Source organism: Homo sapiens, chromosome 12 (assembly GCF_000001405.40).
Source record: "Homo sapiens chromosome 12, GRCh38.p14 Primary Assembly".
NCBI classification, from domain to species: Eukaryota; Metazoa; Chordata; class Mammalia; order Primates; family Hominidae; genus Homo; species Homo sapiens.
The window spans coordinates 119,527,621-119,548,366 of record NC_000012.12 but is presented as its reverse complement, the minus strand read 5'-3'; the positions used below and the strand labels follow the sequence as shown (position 1 = coordinate 119,548,366).

The 20,746-nt window shown below is 43.2% G+C and overlaps 1 protein-coding gene and 1 long non-coding RNA gene across 11 annotated transcripts in view; one reads left to right on the top strand and one right to left on the bottom strand.

Annotated features, from left to right (window-relative positions):
* Positions 1-20,746, top strand: part of PRKAB1-AS1 (PRKAB1, TMEM233 and CCDC60 antisense RNA 1) — a 280,141-nt gene that overhangs the window by 119,761 nt on the left and 139,634 nt on the right. The gene's annotated exons all lie outside the window — the stretch shown is intronic.
* The window catches only part of CCDC60 (coiled-coil domain containing 60), a 206,312-nt gene continuing 192,892 nt past the window's right edge, over positions 7,327-20,746 (bottom strand). For 5 of the 7 annotated variants that reach the window (NM_178499.5, XM_017018911.3, XM_017018916.2 and 2 more), the window contains 3 exons: positions 19,621-19,752; positions 17,304-17,493; positions 7,327-7,753 (listed from right to left, as the gene is read on the bottom strand). In NM_178499.5, the coding sequence (NP_848594.2) occupies positions 7,652-7,753; positions 17,304-17,493; positions 19,621-19,752 (424 nt within the window). In that variant the 3' untranslated portion in view covers positions 7,327-7,651. The remainder of the gene's footprint in view (positions 7,754-17,303; positions 17,494-19,620; positions 19,753-20,746) is intronic. The other 2 variants (XM_017018912.3, XM_017018913.3) reach the window with 1 other exon arrangement.

Here is a 20,746-nt window from a genome sequence, read left to right as displayed (position 1 = left end):
GTGCTGGGATTAAGTGATTGCATGAGCCATTGTGCCCGGCCTCCTCTGTGTTTGTTTTAAGAAGAAACAAACCTTTCTCAGGAGCTTCCCCTTGCAAACCTGGGGTAACATGACCACCTATAAATTAACCCTAGCATGGGGAATGGAATTGCCAATATAGATTTAGACCAATCAAAATTTATCCTGATTCACATGGGAAGGGGTAGACACTTGAACAAAATCAGGACTCCTAGCAAAAGAAGAATGGGAAATGGCTGTTGAATAGCATCCGTGGTGATAGATATAATCCCAAAAGGCAAGCGGGAGAGACTTTTCATCAGAACATTAAAAGTGAATTGGGACAAAGGATGGGGGTATTTCTGGCTTAAGTCATGTGATGGAAGGGACTAGCTCTGTGATGTGTAATAGAAAACCTGCCCCAAGCTCTGAAAGTAGACTTTTTACTTTTAAAAGTCTAAGGTCAAAGGAATGCCTCAGCTCTATTCTCGCCAACCTGTTGGGTCATTGAGGGAACTGTTTGTGCTGGCCTTAGGACACTGAGCTGTGAGCTTATTTTTTATACTATCAGGCTCCACCTTTGCCAGGATGGGCAGTCTCACATCTAAGCCAGCCTCCTGGACATCTTTATTTCCTAGAAGGCAGTGGGGATCTGAGGAATCCTGATGAGTCTAACCCTGATGATGGCTTCTTTTAGTTTCTCTCAGTCATCCGTCCGTCCATCCATCCATCCATCCATCCATCTATCCATCCATGCACTCAAGTATTCATCCATTTATCCACTCAACTGTTCATCCATCCATGCATCCATCCATCCATGCATCCATCCATCCATCCATCCATCCATGCATCCATGCATCCATGCATCCATCCATCCATCCATCCATCCATCCATCCATCCATCCATCCATTCAGTTGATGCCAGAAATGTTATGAGAAATTCTGGGAATACAATAACAAATAAAGCAGATGTAGTCCTTGCCCTCATGAAGGCTAAATCTAGTTGGGAAGACAGATAATAAGTAAACAAACATAAAAAAATTCAGAGCTATTTTGAGACTAGGCCAGAAAGGAATTTGTGCCCTCTCCACTTTTCACTAGTGTGGTTCCTTTGCCCCAGGGTAGTGTGGTGGAGAAAGCTACAGAGTTAAATAGCCAGACCCAAATCTCAAATTACTTGGTGTGTCATGTCTTCAAAATGTGGGTGAGATTTGCTTTGCACATCTCAGAGGATTGCTTTGAAGATCACATGGTGCTAATGGATGTGAACACCCTTCAAAAATGTAAATGGTTTCTAAATTTTATTATCACTAAAGCTCGAGCTCTGATTCCCCCCAAAAGATGACCAATTTGAACCCCAAGACAAGATCCTTTAAGTAGAGAGGCAGTGTAATGTGGTTAAAGCAATATTGCAAAATTTCAAGACGACCACGATTTGAACTCTTGATTAATTGCTTGAAGGCGTGTGACTTGGGCAAGCCACTTCACCTCCTTTAGCTTCAATTTTCTGTCATCTGTAAATGTGAATAAGCATAATAATGCTAGCTTCACAGGATAATTACAAGGAATCAACCAGCAAATGCATATGAATTACATAGTGCCTAGCATAAGGCACTTAGAAAATTTTCATGTTTATTAAATTCTTACTCTACATTATCTTTATCTGACTTCCCCTGGCTACCTCCAGATCCCAAAACAGGGAAGGACACTCAACCTCAGCCATGCAGGTGAAGCTCAGGGACTGAAATGAGCAGTATTGGGTAAAGAGGAAGTGATGCAGGTGTTGTTTTAACATTAGCTTGGGCTTTTATTTTGATATCATTCTTTACAATTGGTCATAGCTTTTGGTCCAGTTCCTCCCTTACCTGCAAACCTTTAAATGAAATGCCAAGGCAGGGTGGTGACAAGAGTCTGGGTATTGGTTTTAATGCACTGGTGTGAACCTTCAGCCTCTTTCCTCCTTCATATAAAGTAGGAAGATAGGAAGTGAAATGACCACCAACATAGCAAATTAATGCAGAAGTTTGTATACGAAGCTCACTATGTCTGTTAAAAAGAAAAAAGGTTACCTACCCCAATTATGTAGCTTTGGGCAGGTTTCCCAACTTTCCTCCACAACACCAGTTTCCTCCACAACAAAGTGGGGGTCAGAGTGATATCTACCTCATGAAACTGTGGTGAGGATAAACTATAATTGAATGCGAAGCACTTAGAACAATGCGTGGTATACAGTAAGCACGCAATGAATGCTTCATTTTAGTTAATTAATTAAAAATGTTTTGCTTATACATGTGAAGAATATCCCTGGAAAGTAATACAAGTTACTGGATACAGTGTGAGTGCCTCTGTAAACCGGAATGGGGGTCTGAGAGTTGGAGGGGGAGGAATACTCACTACTTAGTGGAGATCCTTTTGCACTGTTAAGATTTTTACCCCATGCATACATTCCTTTTCCACAAAAATGACAAAAACTATTCTGAGTAGTGCCAACCCCCCGTTCATCTACATATTTACCATATTACGTTCACCAGTCCTCCCTGTCTCTGTTTTTTGGGGAAGACTAGAACATTCCTCTTCACTCTTAAATTTATCCTCAAGCGGGATCAGCAAACGATGACTGACGGCCCCAATCTGGTCTATGGTCTCTTTTTGTGTGACCTCTAATTTACAGTTAAAAGTTTAAAGGTGTAAAAAAACAGTTTTCACACCTTTAAAGGACTATATAAATAAAAAGAACATGCAACAGATATTTAATATCCAGTCCTTTACAGAAAAAAGCTTCTCTAGCGCACATATAGTTTAAAAAGCTCTCATGTTAACCACTTAGATGGCTTGGTCAGAGCTGTGGGACAGTGACTTCTGGGGACCCAACACCTAGTAGGTGTTCAATTAAGATTATGATGGAGAGGCTAACAAGCAAAAAAATTTCTTCCTGTGGCTCTTCTTAGAACCTGGAAGCTGGGAGGGGATGTGTTGCCTTGTCCTGGTCCCCAGTCTATTTTAGTAGTAAAAGGTCTTCCTTTGTTTGAGTAAACACTCTTTGTCTAAGCAGAAGAGGTCTTGTTGCTGCTGTTTAATACTTGCATTTTTTTTTGGCAGGAAAGTGACATTCTGCTGGAGGGCAGGGTGGGAGAGTAATACTGACAAAGGCCACTAGATGGAGCTACAGCTATGAGAAACAGGCTCAGAAACTGCCAAGCGGGAGGGCGGAGTGAGTCTTGCAATTTCAGATTGCCCCTGACTGGGACAGACAGACTTCAATTTAGACTTGGCTCTCCCACTTACCTGCTATGTGACTATTGGACAATCTTAAGTCTCGATATCCTTCTTTGCAAAATGGGGATTATAATAATGCCCACCTCAGAGGGATGCTGTGAGCATCGAATAAGATAATACTGGAGAAGGCACTCTGGAAACAGTGGAATACAGTACAAATGTGAGCTAATACAATTCATGAAAGCCTCCTCATTAGATGAGCTCAATTCCAAAAGCGCAATAACTCTCGTGACCTCCTTGTTTCATAGCAGAGGGGGCTGGAGGTCGGAGGGTAGGGATGGGGAGGGGGTTCATAGTCAGCTGGACATGCGTACAAAACATTTCTCAGAGTCTCTATTCCATCATCTGCAAAACAGGAGGATATAAGAGCCCTTCTTTGCAGGCTTGTGAAGATGGAATGAGATCATATATGCCAAGCATTTTGCATGAGGTCTGGAACTAAGCAGCCCTTCAGTAAATGTTATTTAAAATTTTTTTTTAATTTCTTTTGAGACAGAGTCTCACGCTGTCACCCAGGCTGGAGTGCAATGCCATGATTTTGGCTCACTGTAACCTCTACCTCCCGGGTTCAAGTGATTCTCCTGCCTCAGCCTCCTGAGTACCTGAGATTACAGGCATGCACCACCACACCTGGCTAATTTTTGTATTTTTAATAGAGACTGGGTTTCACCATGTTGGTCACGCTGGTCTTGAACTCCTGACATCAGGTGATCCGCCCACCTTGGCCTCCCAAAATGCTGGGATCACAAGCTTGAGCCACTGCGTCCAGTCAGTAAATGTTATTTTCTGAGTAGGCTTCTTGATGCTTTTCGTTATTCTGTCCTCAAGACCCCTCTCTCCTCTCCTCTTCTTGCCTCTCTTCCCATTTCTTCCTTTGACCGTCTTGACCTGTGGGATGTTGCTGCTATGTTTCCGTCTCCAGTGCAACCTCCTTTCCTGAGTTATGCATCCCCCCACCTGACTGTCCCTCAGGCATCTCCAACTCAATATGCTTAAAACATAACTCCTCACCTTCTCATTATGAATTTCTTTTCTTCCTGTTCTCCTGGTACATTTAAGGCATCACCTTCCACTCGTGATTCCTGATATTCCTGCCCTCCCACCCCTTACTTATAATCCATCACACCAAGTTCTGTTGATTCTTCTGTTTAGATATCTTTCCAATGAATGTCTTCACCCCTTCTCCACCACCGCTGTTCTCCCCACAATCATTGCCATAGCCTCATCTTAGCTCCTTGTTCCTTGTGAGTGCCATTTTTCTCCCTTGAAAGCAAATGCAATTATTCCCTTCCTCAAAATCCTTCCATGGATTCCTATTTCCAGGCAGATAAAGCCCAAACTTCCTAACATGGCTTATAAGGCATCTGAAAGATCTGGCTTCTACTTCCCTCCCCAACCCCCCTCCTCCCTTTCTCTGTCTTGCACTCCCAATTCGAAATATGGCCCAGCTGGACTTACGTTTAGGTCCTCAAATGACAAATTAAGCTTTTTTTCCTCTCGGCCTTTGCACATGCTGTTCCTTCTGCCTGGAACATTCTTTCTTCCCTCCTTATCTGCCTACCCATCTCTCTCTGGCTAACTCTAGCTCAACTTACAGGTATCAATCACCTCTTCTCAAAAGCCTTTCCTGACGTCTCAGGTATGAGTTAGTCCTCCCCTCCCTCATGTCCACTGGGACCTTTTTGTGCTTGCTTTAATTTGGCACCATTGCACTGATTATCTTGTGTAATTAAATGTCAGCTGTGATGGTCACCTGACATTTGAGATATACATCAATTTGGCTGGGTTCCTGTCCCATGTCTAGTGAGAAGCCAAATGTCCGTTTAAGATTTCTATAAACCTAGAGAGCTCATGTAATAGTAGTCTCTCTAACTTTGACTTCCTGTTCCTACTGTACTCTTTCATTTTTGAGACAGGATCTCGCTCTGTTGCTCAGGCTGGGGTACAGTGGCATGATCATGGCTCACTGCAGTCTTGACCTCCTGGGCTCAAGGGATCCTCCTGCCTCAGCCTTCCGAGTAGCTGGGACTACAGATGGTGCCACCAGCTTTTTTTTTTTTTTTTTTTTTTTTTTTTTTTTTTTGAGACGGAGTTTAATTTTGTCGCCCAAGCCGGAGTACAGTGGTGCGATCTTGGCTCACTGCAACCTCAGCCTCCGGGTTCAAGCGATTCTCCTGCCTCAGCCTCCTGAGTAGCTGAGACTACGGGGGCGTGCCACCATGCCTGGCTATTTATTTATATTTTTAGTAGAGACAGGGTTTCACCATATTGGCCAGGCTGGTCTCGAACTCCACCAGCTAATTTTAAGAACAATTATATTCTGTAGAAATGGGGTCTCACTATGTTGCCCAGGCTGGTGTTGAATTCCTGGCCTCAAAGGATTCTTTCACCTTGGCCTCCCAAAACACTGGCATTACAGGCCTGAGCCACCTTGCCAGGCCCTGAACTCTTTATTGTGTTGAGGGTCTGAGTACCTCAAGCTCTTTTTTTTGCCCCCAAGCAGCCCAGATGTAGAACACAGCGCCTTTTCTTTATTTCTTCAAAACATGGCTCACAGAAGACAGTTGGGTATGTAACAGAAACTACTAAAGGTCCAGAGGGATGAAGAGGGTTGGTTTGCATTGTAGTTCTTAGGGATCCACCAGCCAGCCCTGCCCTGTTTTATCCCCCTGATTGGTTTTCTCCTGAAGTCCCTTCTCACGCTCCTGTTACTCAGCTCCCTTTTCCTCCTCTACCTCCTTTGTCCTTTTTCTTCTTCTTTATTGGCAGCTCCCTCTTACTTCTCTGCTCCTCCCTCACTCGAATTCCTATTTAATACAGAGACCTGTAGGGTCTCTTAATTTTGTAGTTTCTCTGTGGAGTGTATCTTACCTTTGCACCCCAAATAGCTTTTCAAGGTTTACTGTTAAACATAGGGTATCTCTGTGGAGGGACATGGGATGTTACATAATGCCTCTGACCTCCCTGTCGCATTTTATTGACTTCTCTGTTTTTATGTGAACTCCATGATCTCATCTTGGACCATGTGTCAAAAAAGAAGAAATTTTAAAAAATGGCAAACTCCATGAGAACAGAGACCTTGTCTGCCTTGTTCATTGCTGTATCCTTAACACCTAGAACTTGGTTGGTGCATATTGGGCTCTTAATAAATATTCATTAAATGAATAAATGACTGAATAGGTGAATGGATGAGTGTAAGATTGCTTAGACTAAAGAATAATTCAAATTTAACTCTCCTTCCTACTTTTAGATTGCCAGAGGGAGAGATTCAAGCCTAGTCTACATAAATGCTCTGATAATCCAGGCACAAGAGCAAATCAAGTCCAGTTGTCCAATTTTTAATTCAGTGTGGCCATCACTAAGGGAGTTAAAATGCCTACAGTTCCTATAACTTAGTGAGAATGTAGGTGAGCATAAGACCAATATGAGAGAAGAGGTTATGAGAGTCTACACACATTTTGAGATGACAGGAAGATAAGCTTCTTTCTATAACTAAGACCCACAGAAAATATACGAGGATTCAAGGCTAAAATTTTTTTGCATACCATTGCCTTGTTGGGGAATGTGCCATCTGTCCATTCATCCATCCATCATTCATCCATCCATCTATCCATCCATCCATCCATCCATCCACCATCCATTCATTCATCCATCCATCCATTCATCCAACCATGCAACCATCCAACCATGCAACTATGCAAACCATCCATCCATCCATCCATCCATCCATCCATCCATACATACATCTACCCACCCACCCATCCACCCATCTGCCCATCCGTCCACCCACCCACCCACCCAACCATCCATCCAAAGCAATATATATATAATATTGATAAATATGCTGTAGCTTAATCGGTGTGAAATTAAGTTAATATCAGTGCCTACTTAACCAAGTTATCATGAGATTGAAATAACATTATCTAGGTAAAGCACTCAGCACTGGATCTATTGCATAATAGAAACTCAATAAATAGTAACTATTGTTATTAGGATCTAAATACCACACCTGAATTCCATGGCCCCAGCTCTTTCCCAGACAGACATCAAACATTCAGTTCAATTTTATTCTCCAGTACTTGAGGAAGGTAAATAGGGTGAAGGAATCTGAAGAGGAAGTAGGTAGAGTCAGGCTGGATCATTGAAGAACAGAGACTGGTAGGTTGGGTCTGGGGTGTGGAATTGAGGGGAGGGCCACCGGGGCCATCCCCCTCTAAAAATGTTGCTGGAAGTCAGTCTCCAGATGACCCTACTGTAAAGGGTCATCCATAAAGAGCATCCATGAGGGTAGTCAGGAGGCAGGAACACAGGCAGGATACAGGAACATGATATAGGCAAACACTCCTCCACTGAGACAGCTGGTCAACCCAGGCCCAGCCTACCTCAGGGCGCTGTAGGGCCCAATGGGTATGTTGATCCGGCTCTGCAGCCAGCTGATGTAATCCTCTTGAGGCATATGGATGATGTGTTCTCGCACAAACTGTGAGGCAGACATAGTGGCAATCTCAGAATTTGCTCTGAAAAGTAGACTCCACCTTCTCTCCCTCCCCTCAAGATCCTGGAAGATTTGTGACTGAGACTGGTGGCCCCAGGAATACCATTTGGGCATTCATAATCTTGGAGCATCAGATTGGGGTGGTCCTTTGGTGAAGAGGACCCCTTTCCAGCTTCCTGGCTCAGCAGGCTAATGTTAAGCCCCTTCTTGTTGCTATCGATGCAAGGAAATTTGGGGAGGACAGGAAGTCCCAGCTATCTGCATTTTTCTTTCTTTTCTACTCCTTAATATCTTTTCAAACAGTCATTTGTTGTTAAACGTTTTTGGTTTGTAAATCCGTTTCAGAATTGATGACAGCTATGGGCTTAATTTCCTGGAAAGGGTTTAAGACACACAAAAGGAAGAGTTTCATGTAGACCCCCACATCCAGATTATTAGAAATTCTGTGATGTTGGGTGGCTAGCAAGACGGCTGAATAGGAACAGCTCCAGTCTGCAGCTCCCAGTGAGATCAACACAGAAGGTGGGTGATTTCTGCATTTCCAGCTGAGGTACCTGGCTCATCTCATTGGGACTGGTTAGACAGTGGGTGCAGCACAGAGGGCAAGCTGAAGCAGGGTGGGGTGTTGCCTCACCCAGGAAGCACAAGGGGTCAGATAATTCTCTCCCCTAGCCAAGGGAAGCTGTGAGGGACTGTGCTGTGAGGAACAGTGCATTCTGGCCCAGATACTACGCTTTTCCCATGGTCTCCACAACCCGCAGACCAGGAGATTCCCTTGGGTGCCTACACAACCAGGACCCTGGGTTTTAAGCACAAAACTGGGTGGCCATTTGGGCAGACACCAAGCTAGCTGCAGGAGTTTTTTTCTTATACCCCTGTGGCACCTGGAATGCCAGTGAGAGACAACTGCCACTCCCCTGGAAAGGGGGCTGAAGCCAGGGAGCCAAGTGGTCTAGCTCACTGGATCCCACTTCCACGGAGCCCAGCAAGCTAAGATCCACTGGCTTGAAATTCCTGCCGCCAGCACAGCAGTCTGAAGTCGACGTGGGTTGTTGGAGTTTGGTGGGGGGAGGGACGTCCGCCATTATGGAGGTTTGGGTAGGCAGTTTTCCCCTCACAGTGTAAACAAAGCCACCAGAAAGTTCAAACTGGGCAGAGCCCACAGCAAAGCCACTGTAGCCAAACTGCCTCTCTAGATTCCTCCTTTCTGGGCAGGGCATCTCTGAAAGAAAGGCAGCAGCCCCAGTCAGGGACTTATAGATAAAACTCCCATCTCCCTGGGACAGAGCACCTGGGAGAAGGGGCGGTTGTGGGTGCAGCTTCAGCAGACTTAAACATTCCTGCCTGCCGGCTCTGAAGAGAGCAGTGGATCTCCCAGCACAGCGCTCAAGCTCTGCTAAAGGACAGACTGCCTCAAGTGGGTCCCTGACCGCCATGTCTCCTGACTGGGAGACACCTCCCAGGAGGGGTTGACAGACACCTCATATGGGAGAGCTCTGGCTGGCATCAGGCTGGTGCCCCTCTGAGATGAAGCTTCCAGAGGAAGGAACAGGCAGCAATCTTTGCTGTTCTGCAGCCTCCACTGGTGATACCCAGGAAAACAGGGTCTGGAGTGGACCTCCAGCAAACTCCAGCAGACCTGAAGCAGAGGGGGCTGACTGTTAGAAGGAAAACTAACAAACAGAAAGGAATAGCATCAACATCAACAAAAAGCACATCCACACAAAAACCCCATGTGATGGTCACCAACATCAGAGACCAAAAGTAGATAAATCCATGAAGATGAGGAAAAACCAGCACAAAAAGGCTGAAAATTCCCAAAACCAGAACGCTTCTTCTCCTCCAAAGGATCACAGTTCCTCACCAGCAAGGGAACAAAACTGGGCAGAGAATGAGTTTGACAAATTGACAGAAGTAGGCTTCAGAAGATGGATGATAACAAACTCCTCTGAGCTAAAGGAGCATGTTCTAACCCAATGCAAGGAAGCCAAGAACCTCTAAAAAAGGTTAGAGGAATTGCTAACTAGAATAACCAGTTTAGGAGTCTGTTCCAAGATGGCCGAATAGGAACAGCTCCAGTCTGCAGCTCCCAGCATGATCGATGCAGAAGACAGGTGATTTCTGCATTTCCAACTGAGGTACCTGGTTCATCTCATTGGGACTGGTTGGAAAGTGGGTGCAGCCCATGGAGGGCAAGCCGAAACAGGGCAGGGTATCGCCTCACCCAGGAAGTGCAAGGGGTTGGGGGTTTTCCCTTTCCTAGCCAAGGGAAGCCGGGACAGACTGTACCTGGAAAATCAGGACACTTCTGCCCAAATACTGTGCTTTTCCAATGGTCTTAGGAAATGGCACACCAGGAAATTATATGCGCCTGGCTCGGCAGGTCCCATGCCCATGGAGCATTGCTCACTGCTAGTGCAGCAGTCTGAGATCAACCTGTGAGGCAGCAGCCTGGCAGGGGGAGGGGCATCCGCCATTGCTGAGGCTTGAGTAGGTAAACAAAGTGGCCGTGGAAGCTCGAACTGGGTGGAGTCCACCACAGCTCAGCAAGGCCTGTTGCCTCTGTAGATTCCACCTCTGGGGGCAGGGCATAGCTGAACAAAAGGCAGCAGATACTTCTGCAGACTTAAACGTCCCTGTCTGACAGCTCTGAAGAGAGTACTGGTTCTCCCAGCATGATGTTTGAGCTCTGAGAACAGACAGACTGCCTCCTCAAGTGGGTCCCTGACCCCCATGTAGCTTCACTGGGAGACACCTCCCAGTAGGGGCCAACTGACACCTCATACAGGCGGGCGCCCCTTTGGGACGAAGCTTCCAGAGGAAGGATCTAGCAGCAATATTTGCTGTTCTACAGCCTCCGCTGGTGATACCCAGGCAAACAGGGTCTGGAGTGGACCTCCAGCAAACTCCAACAGACCTGCAGCTGAGAGACCTGACTGTGAGACGGAAAACTAACAAACAGAAAGGAATAGCATCAACATCAACAAAAAGGACATCCACACCAAAACCCCATCTGTAGGTCACCACCAACAAAGACCAAAGGTAGATAAAACCACAAAGGTGGGGAGAAACCAGAGCAGAAAAGCTGAAAATTCTAAAAACTGGAGCACCTCTTCTCCTCCAAAGGATCGCAACTCCTTGCCAGCAATGGAACAAAGCGGGATGGAGAATGACTTTGACGAGCTGACAGAAGTAGGCTTCAGAAGGTCGGTAATAACAAACTTCTCCAAGCTAAAGGAGGATGTTTGAACCCATTGCAAGGAAGCTAAAAACCTTGAAAAAAGATTAGACGAATGGCGAACTAGAATAAACAGTGAAGAGAAGACCTTAAATGACCTGATGGAGCTGAAAACCAAGGCACAAGAACTACGTGAAGAATTCACAAGCTTCAGTAGCCGATTCAATCTAGTGGAAGAAAGGGTATCAGTGGTTGAAGATCAAATTAATGAAATAAAGTGAGAAGAGAAGTTTAGAGAAAAGAGTAAAAAGAAATGAACAAAGCCTCCAAGACATATGGGACTATGTGAAAAGACCAAAACTATGTTTGATTGGTGTACCTGAAAGTGATGGGGAGAATGGAACCAAGTTGGAAAATATTCTGCAGGATATTATCCAGGAGAACTTCCCCAACCGAGCAAGGCAGGCCAACATTCAAATTCACAAAATACAGAGAACACCACAAAGATACTCCTTGAGAAGAGCAAGCCCAAGACACATAATTGTCAGATTTACCAAGGTTGAAATGAAGGAAAAAATGTTAAGGGCAGTCAGAAAGTTCAGGTTACCCACAAAGGAAGCCCATCAGACTAACAGTGGATCTCTCAGCAGAAACTCTACAAGCCAGAAGAGAGTAAGGGCCAATATTCAGCATTCTTAAAGAAAAGGATTTTCAACCCAGAATTTCATATCCAGCCAAACTAAGCTTCATAAGTGAAGGAGAAATAAAATCCTTTACAGACAAGCAAATGGTGAGAGATTTTTGTCACCACCAGGCCTGCCTTACAACAGTGCCTGAAGGAAGCACTAAACATAAAAAGGAACAACCGGTACCAGCCACTGCAAAAACATGCCAAATTGTAAAGACCATCGATGCTAGGAAGAAACTGCATCAGCTAATGGGCAAAATAACCAGCTAACATCATAATGACGGGATCAAATTCACACATAGCAATATTAACCTTAAACGTAAATGGGCTAAATACCCCAATTAAAAGACACAGACTGGCAAATTGGATGAAGAGTCAAGATCCATCACTATGCTGTATTCAGTAGACCCATCTCACGTGCAGAGACACACATAGGCTCAAAATAAAGGGATGGAGGAAGATGTACCAAGCAAATGGAAAGCAAAAAATGGAGGGGTTGCAATTCTAGTCTCTGATAAAACAGACTTCAAATCAACAAAGATCAAAAGAGACAAAGAAGGCCATTACATAATGGTAAAGGGATCAATTCAACAGGAAGAGCTAACTATCCTAAATATAGATGCACCAAATACAGGAGCACCCAGATTCAAAAAGCAAGGCCTTAGAGACCTACAAAGAGACTTAGACTCCTACACAATAATAATGGGAGACTTTAACACCCCACTGTCAATATTAGACAGATCAAGGAGACAGAAGTTTAACAAGGATATCCAGGACTTGAACTCAGCTCTGCACCAAGCAGACCTAATAGACATCTACAGAACTCTCCACCCCAAATCAACAGAATAGACATTCTTCTTAGCACCACATCGCACTTATTCCAAAACTGACCACATAGTTGGAAGGAAAGCACTCCTCAGCAAATGTAAAAGAGCAGAAATTATAACAAACTGTCTCTCAGACCACAGTGCAATCAAATTAGAATTCAGGATTAAGAAACTCACTCAAAACTGCACAACTACATGGAAACTGAACATCCTGCTCCTGAATGACTACTGGGTACATAACGAAATGAAGGCAGAAATAAAGATGTTCTTTGAAACCAATGAAAACAAAGACACAAGGTGCCTGAATCTCTGGGACACACTTAAAGCAGTGTGTAGAGGGAAAATTTATAGCACTAAATGCCCACAAGAGAAGGCAAGAAAGATCTAAAATCAACACCCTAACATCACAATGAAAAGAACTAGACAAGCAAGAGCAAACAAATTCAAAACTAGCAGAAGACAAGAAATAACTAAGATTAGAGCAGAACTGAAGGAGATAGAGACACAAAAAACCCTTCAAATAATCAATGAATCCAGGAGCTGGTTTTTTGAAAAGATCAACAAAATTGATAGACTGCTAGCAAGAGTAACAAAGAAGAAAAGAGAGAAGAATCAAATAGACGCAATAAAAAATGATAAAGGGAATATCACCACTGATCCCACAGAAATACAAACTACCATCAGAGAATACCATAAACACCTCTGCGCAAATAAACTAGAAGATCTAGAAAAAATGGATAAATTCCTGGACACATACACCCTGTCAAGACTAAACCAGGAAGAAATTGAATCTGAATAGACTGATAACAGGCTCTGAAATTGAGGCAGTAATTAATAGCCTACCAAGAAAAAAAGTCCAGGACCATACGGATTCACAGCCAAATTCTACCAGAGGTACAAAGAGGAGCTGGTACCATTCCTTCTGAAACTATTCCAGTCAATAGAAAAAGAGGGAATCCTCCCCAACTCATTTTATGAGGCCAACATCATCCTGATACCAAAGCCTGACAGAGACAAAACAAAAAAAGAGAATTTTTAGACCAATATCCCTGATGAACATCGATGTGAAAGTCCTCAATAAAATACTGGCAAACCGAGTCCAGCAGCAAATCAAAAAGCTTATCCACCACGATCAAGTCAGCTTCATCCCTGGGATGCAAGGCTGGTTCAACATATGCAAATCAATAAACGTAATCCATCACATAAACAGAACCATCGACAAAAACCACATGATTATCTCAATAGATGCAGAAAAGGCCTTTGACAAAATTCAACAGCCCTTCATGCTAAAAACTCTCAATAAACTATGTATTGATGGAATGTATCTCAAAATAATGAGAGCTATTTATGACAAACCCACAGCCAATATCATACTGAATGGGCAAAAACGGGAAGCATTCCTTTTGAAAACTGGCACAAGACAGGGATGCCGTCTCTCACCACTCCTATTCAACATAGTGTTGGAAGTTCTGGCCAGGTCAATCAGGCAAGAGAAAGAAATAAAGGGTATTCACTTAGGAAAAGAGGAAGTCAAAATGTCCCTATTTGCAGATGACATGATTGTATATTTAGAAAACCCCATTGTCTCAGCCCAAAATCTCCTTAAGCTGATAAGCAACTTCAGCAAAGTCTCAAGATACAAAATCAATGTGGAAAAATCACAAGCATTCCTATATACCAATAACAGACAGAGAGCCAAATCATGGGTGAACTCCCATTCACAATTGCTACAAAGAGAATAAAATACCTAGGAAACCAACTTACAAGGGATGTGAAGGACCTCTTCAAGGAGAACTACAAACCACTGCTCAACGAAATAAAAGAGGACACAAACAAATGGAAAAATATTCCATGCTCATGGATAGGAAGAATCAATATTGTGAAAATGGCCGTACTCCCCAAGGTAATTTATAGATTCAATGCTATCCCCATCAAGCTACCAATGACTTTCTTCACAAAATTGGAAAAAACTACTTTAAAATTCATATGGAACCAAAAAAGAGCCCGTATTGTCAAGTCAATCCTAAGCAAAAAGAACAAAGCTGGAGGCATCACACTACCTGACTTCAAACTATACTACAAGGCTACAGTAACCAAAACTGCATGGTACTGGTACCAAAACAGACTTATAGACCAATGGAACAGAACAGAGGCCTCAGAAAAAACACCACACATCTACAACCATCTGATCTTTGACAAACCTGACAAAAACAAGCAATGGGGAAAGGATTCCCTGTTTAATAAATGGTGATGGGAAAACTGGCTAGTCTTATGTAGAAAGCTGAAACTGGATCCCTTCCTTACAACTTATACAAAAATTAATTCAAGATGGATTAAAGACTTAAACGTTAGACCTAAAACCATAAAAACCCTAGAAGAAAACCTAGGCAGTACCATTCAGGACATAGGCATGGGCAAAGACTTCATGACTAAAACACCAAAAGCAATGGCAACAAAAGGCAAAATAGACAAATGGGATCTGATTAAACTAAAGAGCTTCTGCACAGCAAAAGAAACTATCATCATAGTGAACAGGCAACCTACAGAATGGGAGAAAATTTTTGCAATCTACCCATCTGACAAAGGGCTAATATCTAGAATCTACAAGGAACTTAAACAAATTTAGAAGAAAAAAATAAACAACGCCATCAAAAAGTAGGTGAAGGATATGAATAGACACTTCTCAAAAGAAGACATTTATGCAGCCAACAAACAAATGAAAAAAGGCTCATCATCACTGGTCATTAGATAATTGCAAATCAAAACCACAATGAGATACCATCTCATGCCAGTTAGAATGACGATCATTAAAAAGTCAGGAAACAATAAATGCTGGAGAGGATGTGGAGAAATAGGAATGCTTTTACACTATTGATGGGAGTGTAAATTAGTTCAACCATTTTGGAAGACAGAGTGGTGATTCCTCAAGGATCTAGAGCCAGAAATACCATTTGATCCAGCAATCCCATTACTGGATGTATACCCAAAGGATTATAAATCTTTCTACTATAAAGACACATGTACACATATGTTTACTGCAGCACTATTCACAATAGCAAAGACTTGGAACCAACCCAAATGCCCATCAATGATAGACTGGATAAAGAAAATGTTGCACATATACACCATAGAATACTATGCAGCCATAAAAAAGGATGAGTTCATGTCCTTTGCAGGGACATAGATGAAGCTGGAAATCATCATTCTCAGCAAATTAACACAGGAACAGAAAACCAAACACATGTTCTCACTCATAAGTGGGAGTTGAACAATGAGAACACATGGACACAGGAAGGGAAACATCACAAGCTGGGGCCTGTCAGGGGATGGGGGTCTAGGGGAGGGATAGCATTAGGAGAAATACCTAATGTAGATGATGGGTTGATGGGTGCAGAAAACCACCATGACACATGTATACCTATGTAACAAACCTTCACGTTACGCACATGTATCCCAGAACTTAAAGTATAATGATAATAATAATAATAATAATAATAATAATAATAATAGTTCTGTGATGTTCTCACTAGGAAAAGAGCTTGCTAAATTTTATTAGTCAGGGCTGTGAACTCACCTCATATAAAAGAGGAGCCCCTAGTACTCCCTCTTCTTACCCATGCAGGGACTAGCTTTTCAAAGTCCTCCATAACTTCAAGTGGAAGTTGGACCCCATAACTGGTAAATAGAAGGTGGAAGTTGCCCTAGAGTTAGTTTTGGCCAAACCTGCTAGAATCTTTCCTGAAGGAGCCTCACGGGTCATGGGGAGTAGAGTCTTGGCATTTGAATTTGTCTACAAGGTCATCCCCCTCCTTCCACTCCTAACCTTGCCCTCATTAACACACCCAGGTCATTCTGTGGAAGGGCCCTCCTGGTATGAAAATGTCAAACGCTCCATAGCCTGTCAAGGCCTGGGAATTTGACCTTTTGAGTCACTTCTTTACCAGGAGGGAGGCGTTGAAGGCCCTGTTAAAATGCACATATGCCGTCTGATAAAATTAAAGAAGTGACTTCATTAACCTCTGCTAACACCTTACTGTGGAGTCCTTGTATTGCTGATGCATTTTGACAAACACCAGGAACTTCTTCTGGTGATGGTGGTGAATGACAATGGAAAACTGTTTAGTGGCTCCTAAATTTTTATCTTGACCTTCAAAGGTTTGCACAGACTGACCTCTCCAATCCCCTGGGAACTATGCACTCCTTGCCTGCTTCCTTCCATACTCACTGAGTGCCAGTGAGTTCTTCCAACAAGTCAAGTCGTGTGCTGCTTTGGGATCTTTGCACACACTGTCTTCTCTTCTTGATCTGCTCTTTCCCTTTCTCTTCATGGTGCCGTCTTCTCATGATTCTGGTCTTGCCTTAAAAGTCACCTTCCCAGTTGCCTGAGTTAAGGTAGATCCCTTCTAACTTACATACGGGGCTTCTCAAACTGTATTGTGCATACAAGACACCTGGAATCCCATTAAAATATAAACTTGGAGTTGGCAGATTGACTTGAAACCTGCAATTCTGCGTTTCTAACAAGCACCCAGGTGAGGTCCATGCTGCTGGTCCATGGAGTACACTTTTAGTAGCAAGATAAAGGACTCCTTATTACTGCCCATTTTTTATGCCACCCCAAAGCCTCTGAGTTTCCAGGGGGTACCATTTATATAGAATATAATGTCCCTTGCAGTTGGAGTTGGGCAACCAGGTAATGGGACAATCCCTCTACTATTAGAATATGAGCTCCATAAAGGCAGGGGACTTTGTGTCCCCAGCACTTAAACAGTGCCTGAATGTTGAGAGGTGATTGAATGAGGACACCTGAAACACTGTGGAGGGGAAGGAGGTGGTGTTTACCTCAATAGCCACAGCGATGTCAGGGGAGCACAGTTCCCAAATCCTCAGATCCTGCAGCACCTTCAGGAGGACATGGGGTCGAATCCGCAAGTCCAGGTTTTCTCCAAACTTCTGCAGTTTCACCAGGATCTTTTTGGCGGGGCGGAAGTTCTTTAGATCCTCTGGCAGTTTGGACAACAGATCAAAGTACCTTCAATTCCAAAAGGAGAGGACAAGTTAGGAAGCTGCTGGAAGATCTGAGCACCTCTGGCCATCCATCTCCACTTTCTCTTTCTGCTCTCTGTGATGTCTCCAGGGCAGCAGTATTCTTTATCTAGGGACCTTTCCTCTGTGACCCACAGATCAGGCCTGTCTTTACTTTTAGGGGTAGAAAAAGATGGAGAATGACTTGCATTTCATTAAAAAATAAAACAAAGGTGTGATTTCAAGGGATGTATTTGTAATTTTTCTATCAGACAATGTGAAATGTTAGAAGAAAGGAATGGACTTTGGGATCTGAAACTTCTCTTCTGAGGGTTAATCAGGTCGGAGTTGATGTACACACATCTTTGGGATGTCTACTAGGATGCTGGAGGCTCTCACACACGACGGTGTGTGTGTGTATTTTCTATCTCTTTGATTAATGAGCAAGGTTGGGTCAAAGCTTTGTGTATTTCAGTGTTATGTGAATGTGAGAGTAGTTTTGGAATCCATCCTTGAAGAACCTACTTGATCTAATCTACCTTAGGTCTAACCTAAGGAGATGGTTCAGATGTGATCAGGTTTAAGGCTGGTAGATCTCTTAAAAAAAAAAAAACTCCCTCACCCCTTGCTATATATGTGCCCATTGTGGAAAATTTTGAAGATGTAACTGATCATCCATTATATGTTTTGGGCTTCTCATACTGCTTTATATTCTAGGATATATATTTATTATATTGATTCCTGTCTCCTTGTTTAGAATAAAGTCCCGTTGAGGAGAAGAGGAAACTTGTCTGAGTTATTCAGTATTCAGACTGCTAGAATACTGCCTAACTCATAGTAGGTGCTCAATAACTATCATTTGAAAAACTGAATGAGTAATTGGATGAATGAACAACTACAACTCAACATCATCCTTACGACGCTGTGGTTTGTTTGACTTGATTTTAATGTTACTATGGAGGGCAATTACTTCCCCCATAATAATGACAGAAATTCCACCATTAGATTTGTGGGCTGAATCTCACTGTGGGAGGACCAGCATTAATTTCCTTCTGTAATACCTTTATGTGAGTTAGTTCATAACAACCTTTCCTCCTCCCCCCAAATTCCCTCCCACAGAGGGAAGAGGGTTTGCAGAAGACCCTTTTCTCCCTTTCGTAAGAGGGTCCCTCTTAAAAGACTCATGTATCTTCAGGGCCAGACATTGCTTGTGAGAAAGTGATGTTCTGGGATGTGAGGATGTGTAGAAGTTCCAACAACTCTGCAAAGACTCCAGGGACCTGCTTGTAAGTTCCTGTTTCACATTATAAAACTCATGGAAGGGATTCTGGGTACATTTTTTACTTTCTCATCTTACTCTTAAATCTTAGTGTATTCACCCTGCTAGGATGGGGTTCGGGACACCACAGTTCAGTAGATTCCAATTCTGTATTGCAAATGAGCACACAGACTGAGGTTAGACAGGAGTTCGAATCCTAAATTCACCAGTTAACTGATGGTGTGACCTTTGACAAGTGAATTTACCCCTCTGAGTCTCTGTTTCCTTGTTTGTGAAATGGGGGTTAATATGTATCTTTCAGGATTATTTTGTTGGGGGGGATAAAATGGACAATTTATGAAAATTGCTTATGTAGTGACTGCCATCCAGTAATCACTCAATTCATGTTGCTTTTTTTGTTGTTACTTATCATCACCCTTATGCTGTGGCACAGTGTTTCTAGGATATGACTGCCTGGTTTTGCACTTTTTAGGGATTACGTTACTTGGGGGGATGCAGTGATCACCCCCATAGACCTCAGAATCTGTAGAAATTTTCAGGTTGATATGCCTCATCTGCCTGTCCCACAGGGCCTGGCAAGGTTGTCCTTATTTGCAAGTCTGAATCAAACAGCAGGTAAATATGGAGAACGCAATGGGTTGGATTATCTGTGATTTCAGAAACCAGGAGTTTTGGGCCTGATTGTGCTCTGGATTTAGTGTTTCTGGGGGGTGGGGGATCCTGTTGATGGCCAATGACAGTTTTGGAGTAATGCCTCTCTATGCCTTGAAGGACAGTGGAATCAATAGTGATCTTGTAATAACAACACCCTGTTCTCTTCCAGGGACCATCTTATCTGGTTCTTAGGATATTTACCAGTGGTCTGCAATTTCTTCTGCATCTCCTTTTACTACAGATATGTGATGTCTCATTTTTGCTATGTCCTTTTGAAAATTTGAGACAAGGACAAAAGCACGGAACTTCTGGATACCTCTCTCTTCTTGGCGCCTACAAGGTTGTATGAGAAAGAGAGAGAAGAATGAGATCCCCTCCTCCTGTAACCATCTTAGCTGCCCTTTGAGATCTGACTTAAACACCTTTTCCTTCATGAGGCTTTTCTTAACCCTGTCAGCTAATCTTTAACTTAGGCTCTGGCTTTTGCCACAAGAGGATACAGCTCTCTCCAAGGTCCTGAAGCACTACTTAAGCACAGTTAAATCTAGTCACTTTTTATTAGCTTTCATTCTCTTCCTACTTCTGATTGTATTTACATAGCTTTTCAGTCTCTAAGATGGGGAATAATAATGATTCCTATTTTCCAGAGGTGAGGATTAAATGATATAATGTGTGTAAACTGTTGAGATTCATGCCAGACACACAGTAGGTGTTAACTTGTGCTGGTTCCTCTCTTCCCCACTCCCCTTATCATCTTGTGCCTATGTTCTGTCTCTCCAATGAGACTTTATATTATAAATATCACCATGTCACCCCACTGCCTACAGCTTTCAATAGCTTTTCAGTTTACTCAGAATAAATTCTTCTCTAAGGCTCTAAATTATTCAGCCCCCACATTTTCCAGCTTTATCCTCATCCTTTCCATCCCTTCTCTTCCAGAATTTTATCCTTTGGGTCATGATCAAAGTCTCTGAGATGCCGGGCGCAGTGGATCATGCCTGTAATCCCAGCACTTTGGGAGGGTGGATCATGAGGTCAGGAGATCGACACCATCCTGGCTAACATGGTGAAACCCCGTCTCTACTAAAAAAATACAAAAAAAAATTAGCCGGGCGTGGTGGCGGGCGCCTGTAGTCCCAGCTACTCGGGAGACTGAGGCGGGAGAATGGCGTGAACCCAGGAGGCGGAGCTTGCAGTGAGCCGAGATTGCGCCACTGCACTCTAGCCTGGGCGACAGAGCGAGACTCCATCTCAATAAAAAAAAAAAAAAAAAAAAAAAAAGAAAGAAAGAAAGAAAGAAAAAACAAAGTCTCTGAGATAAAGCTCA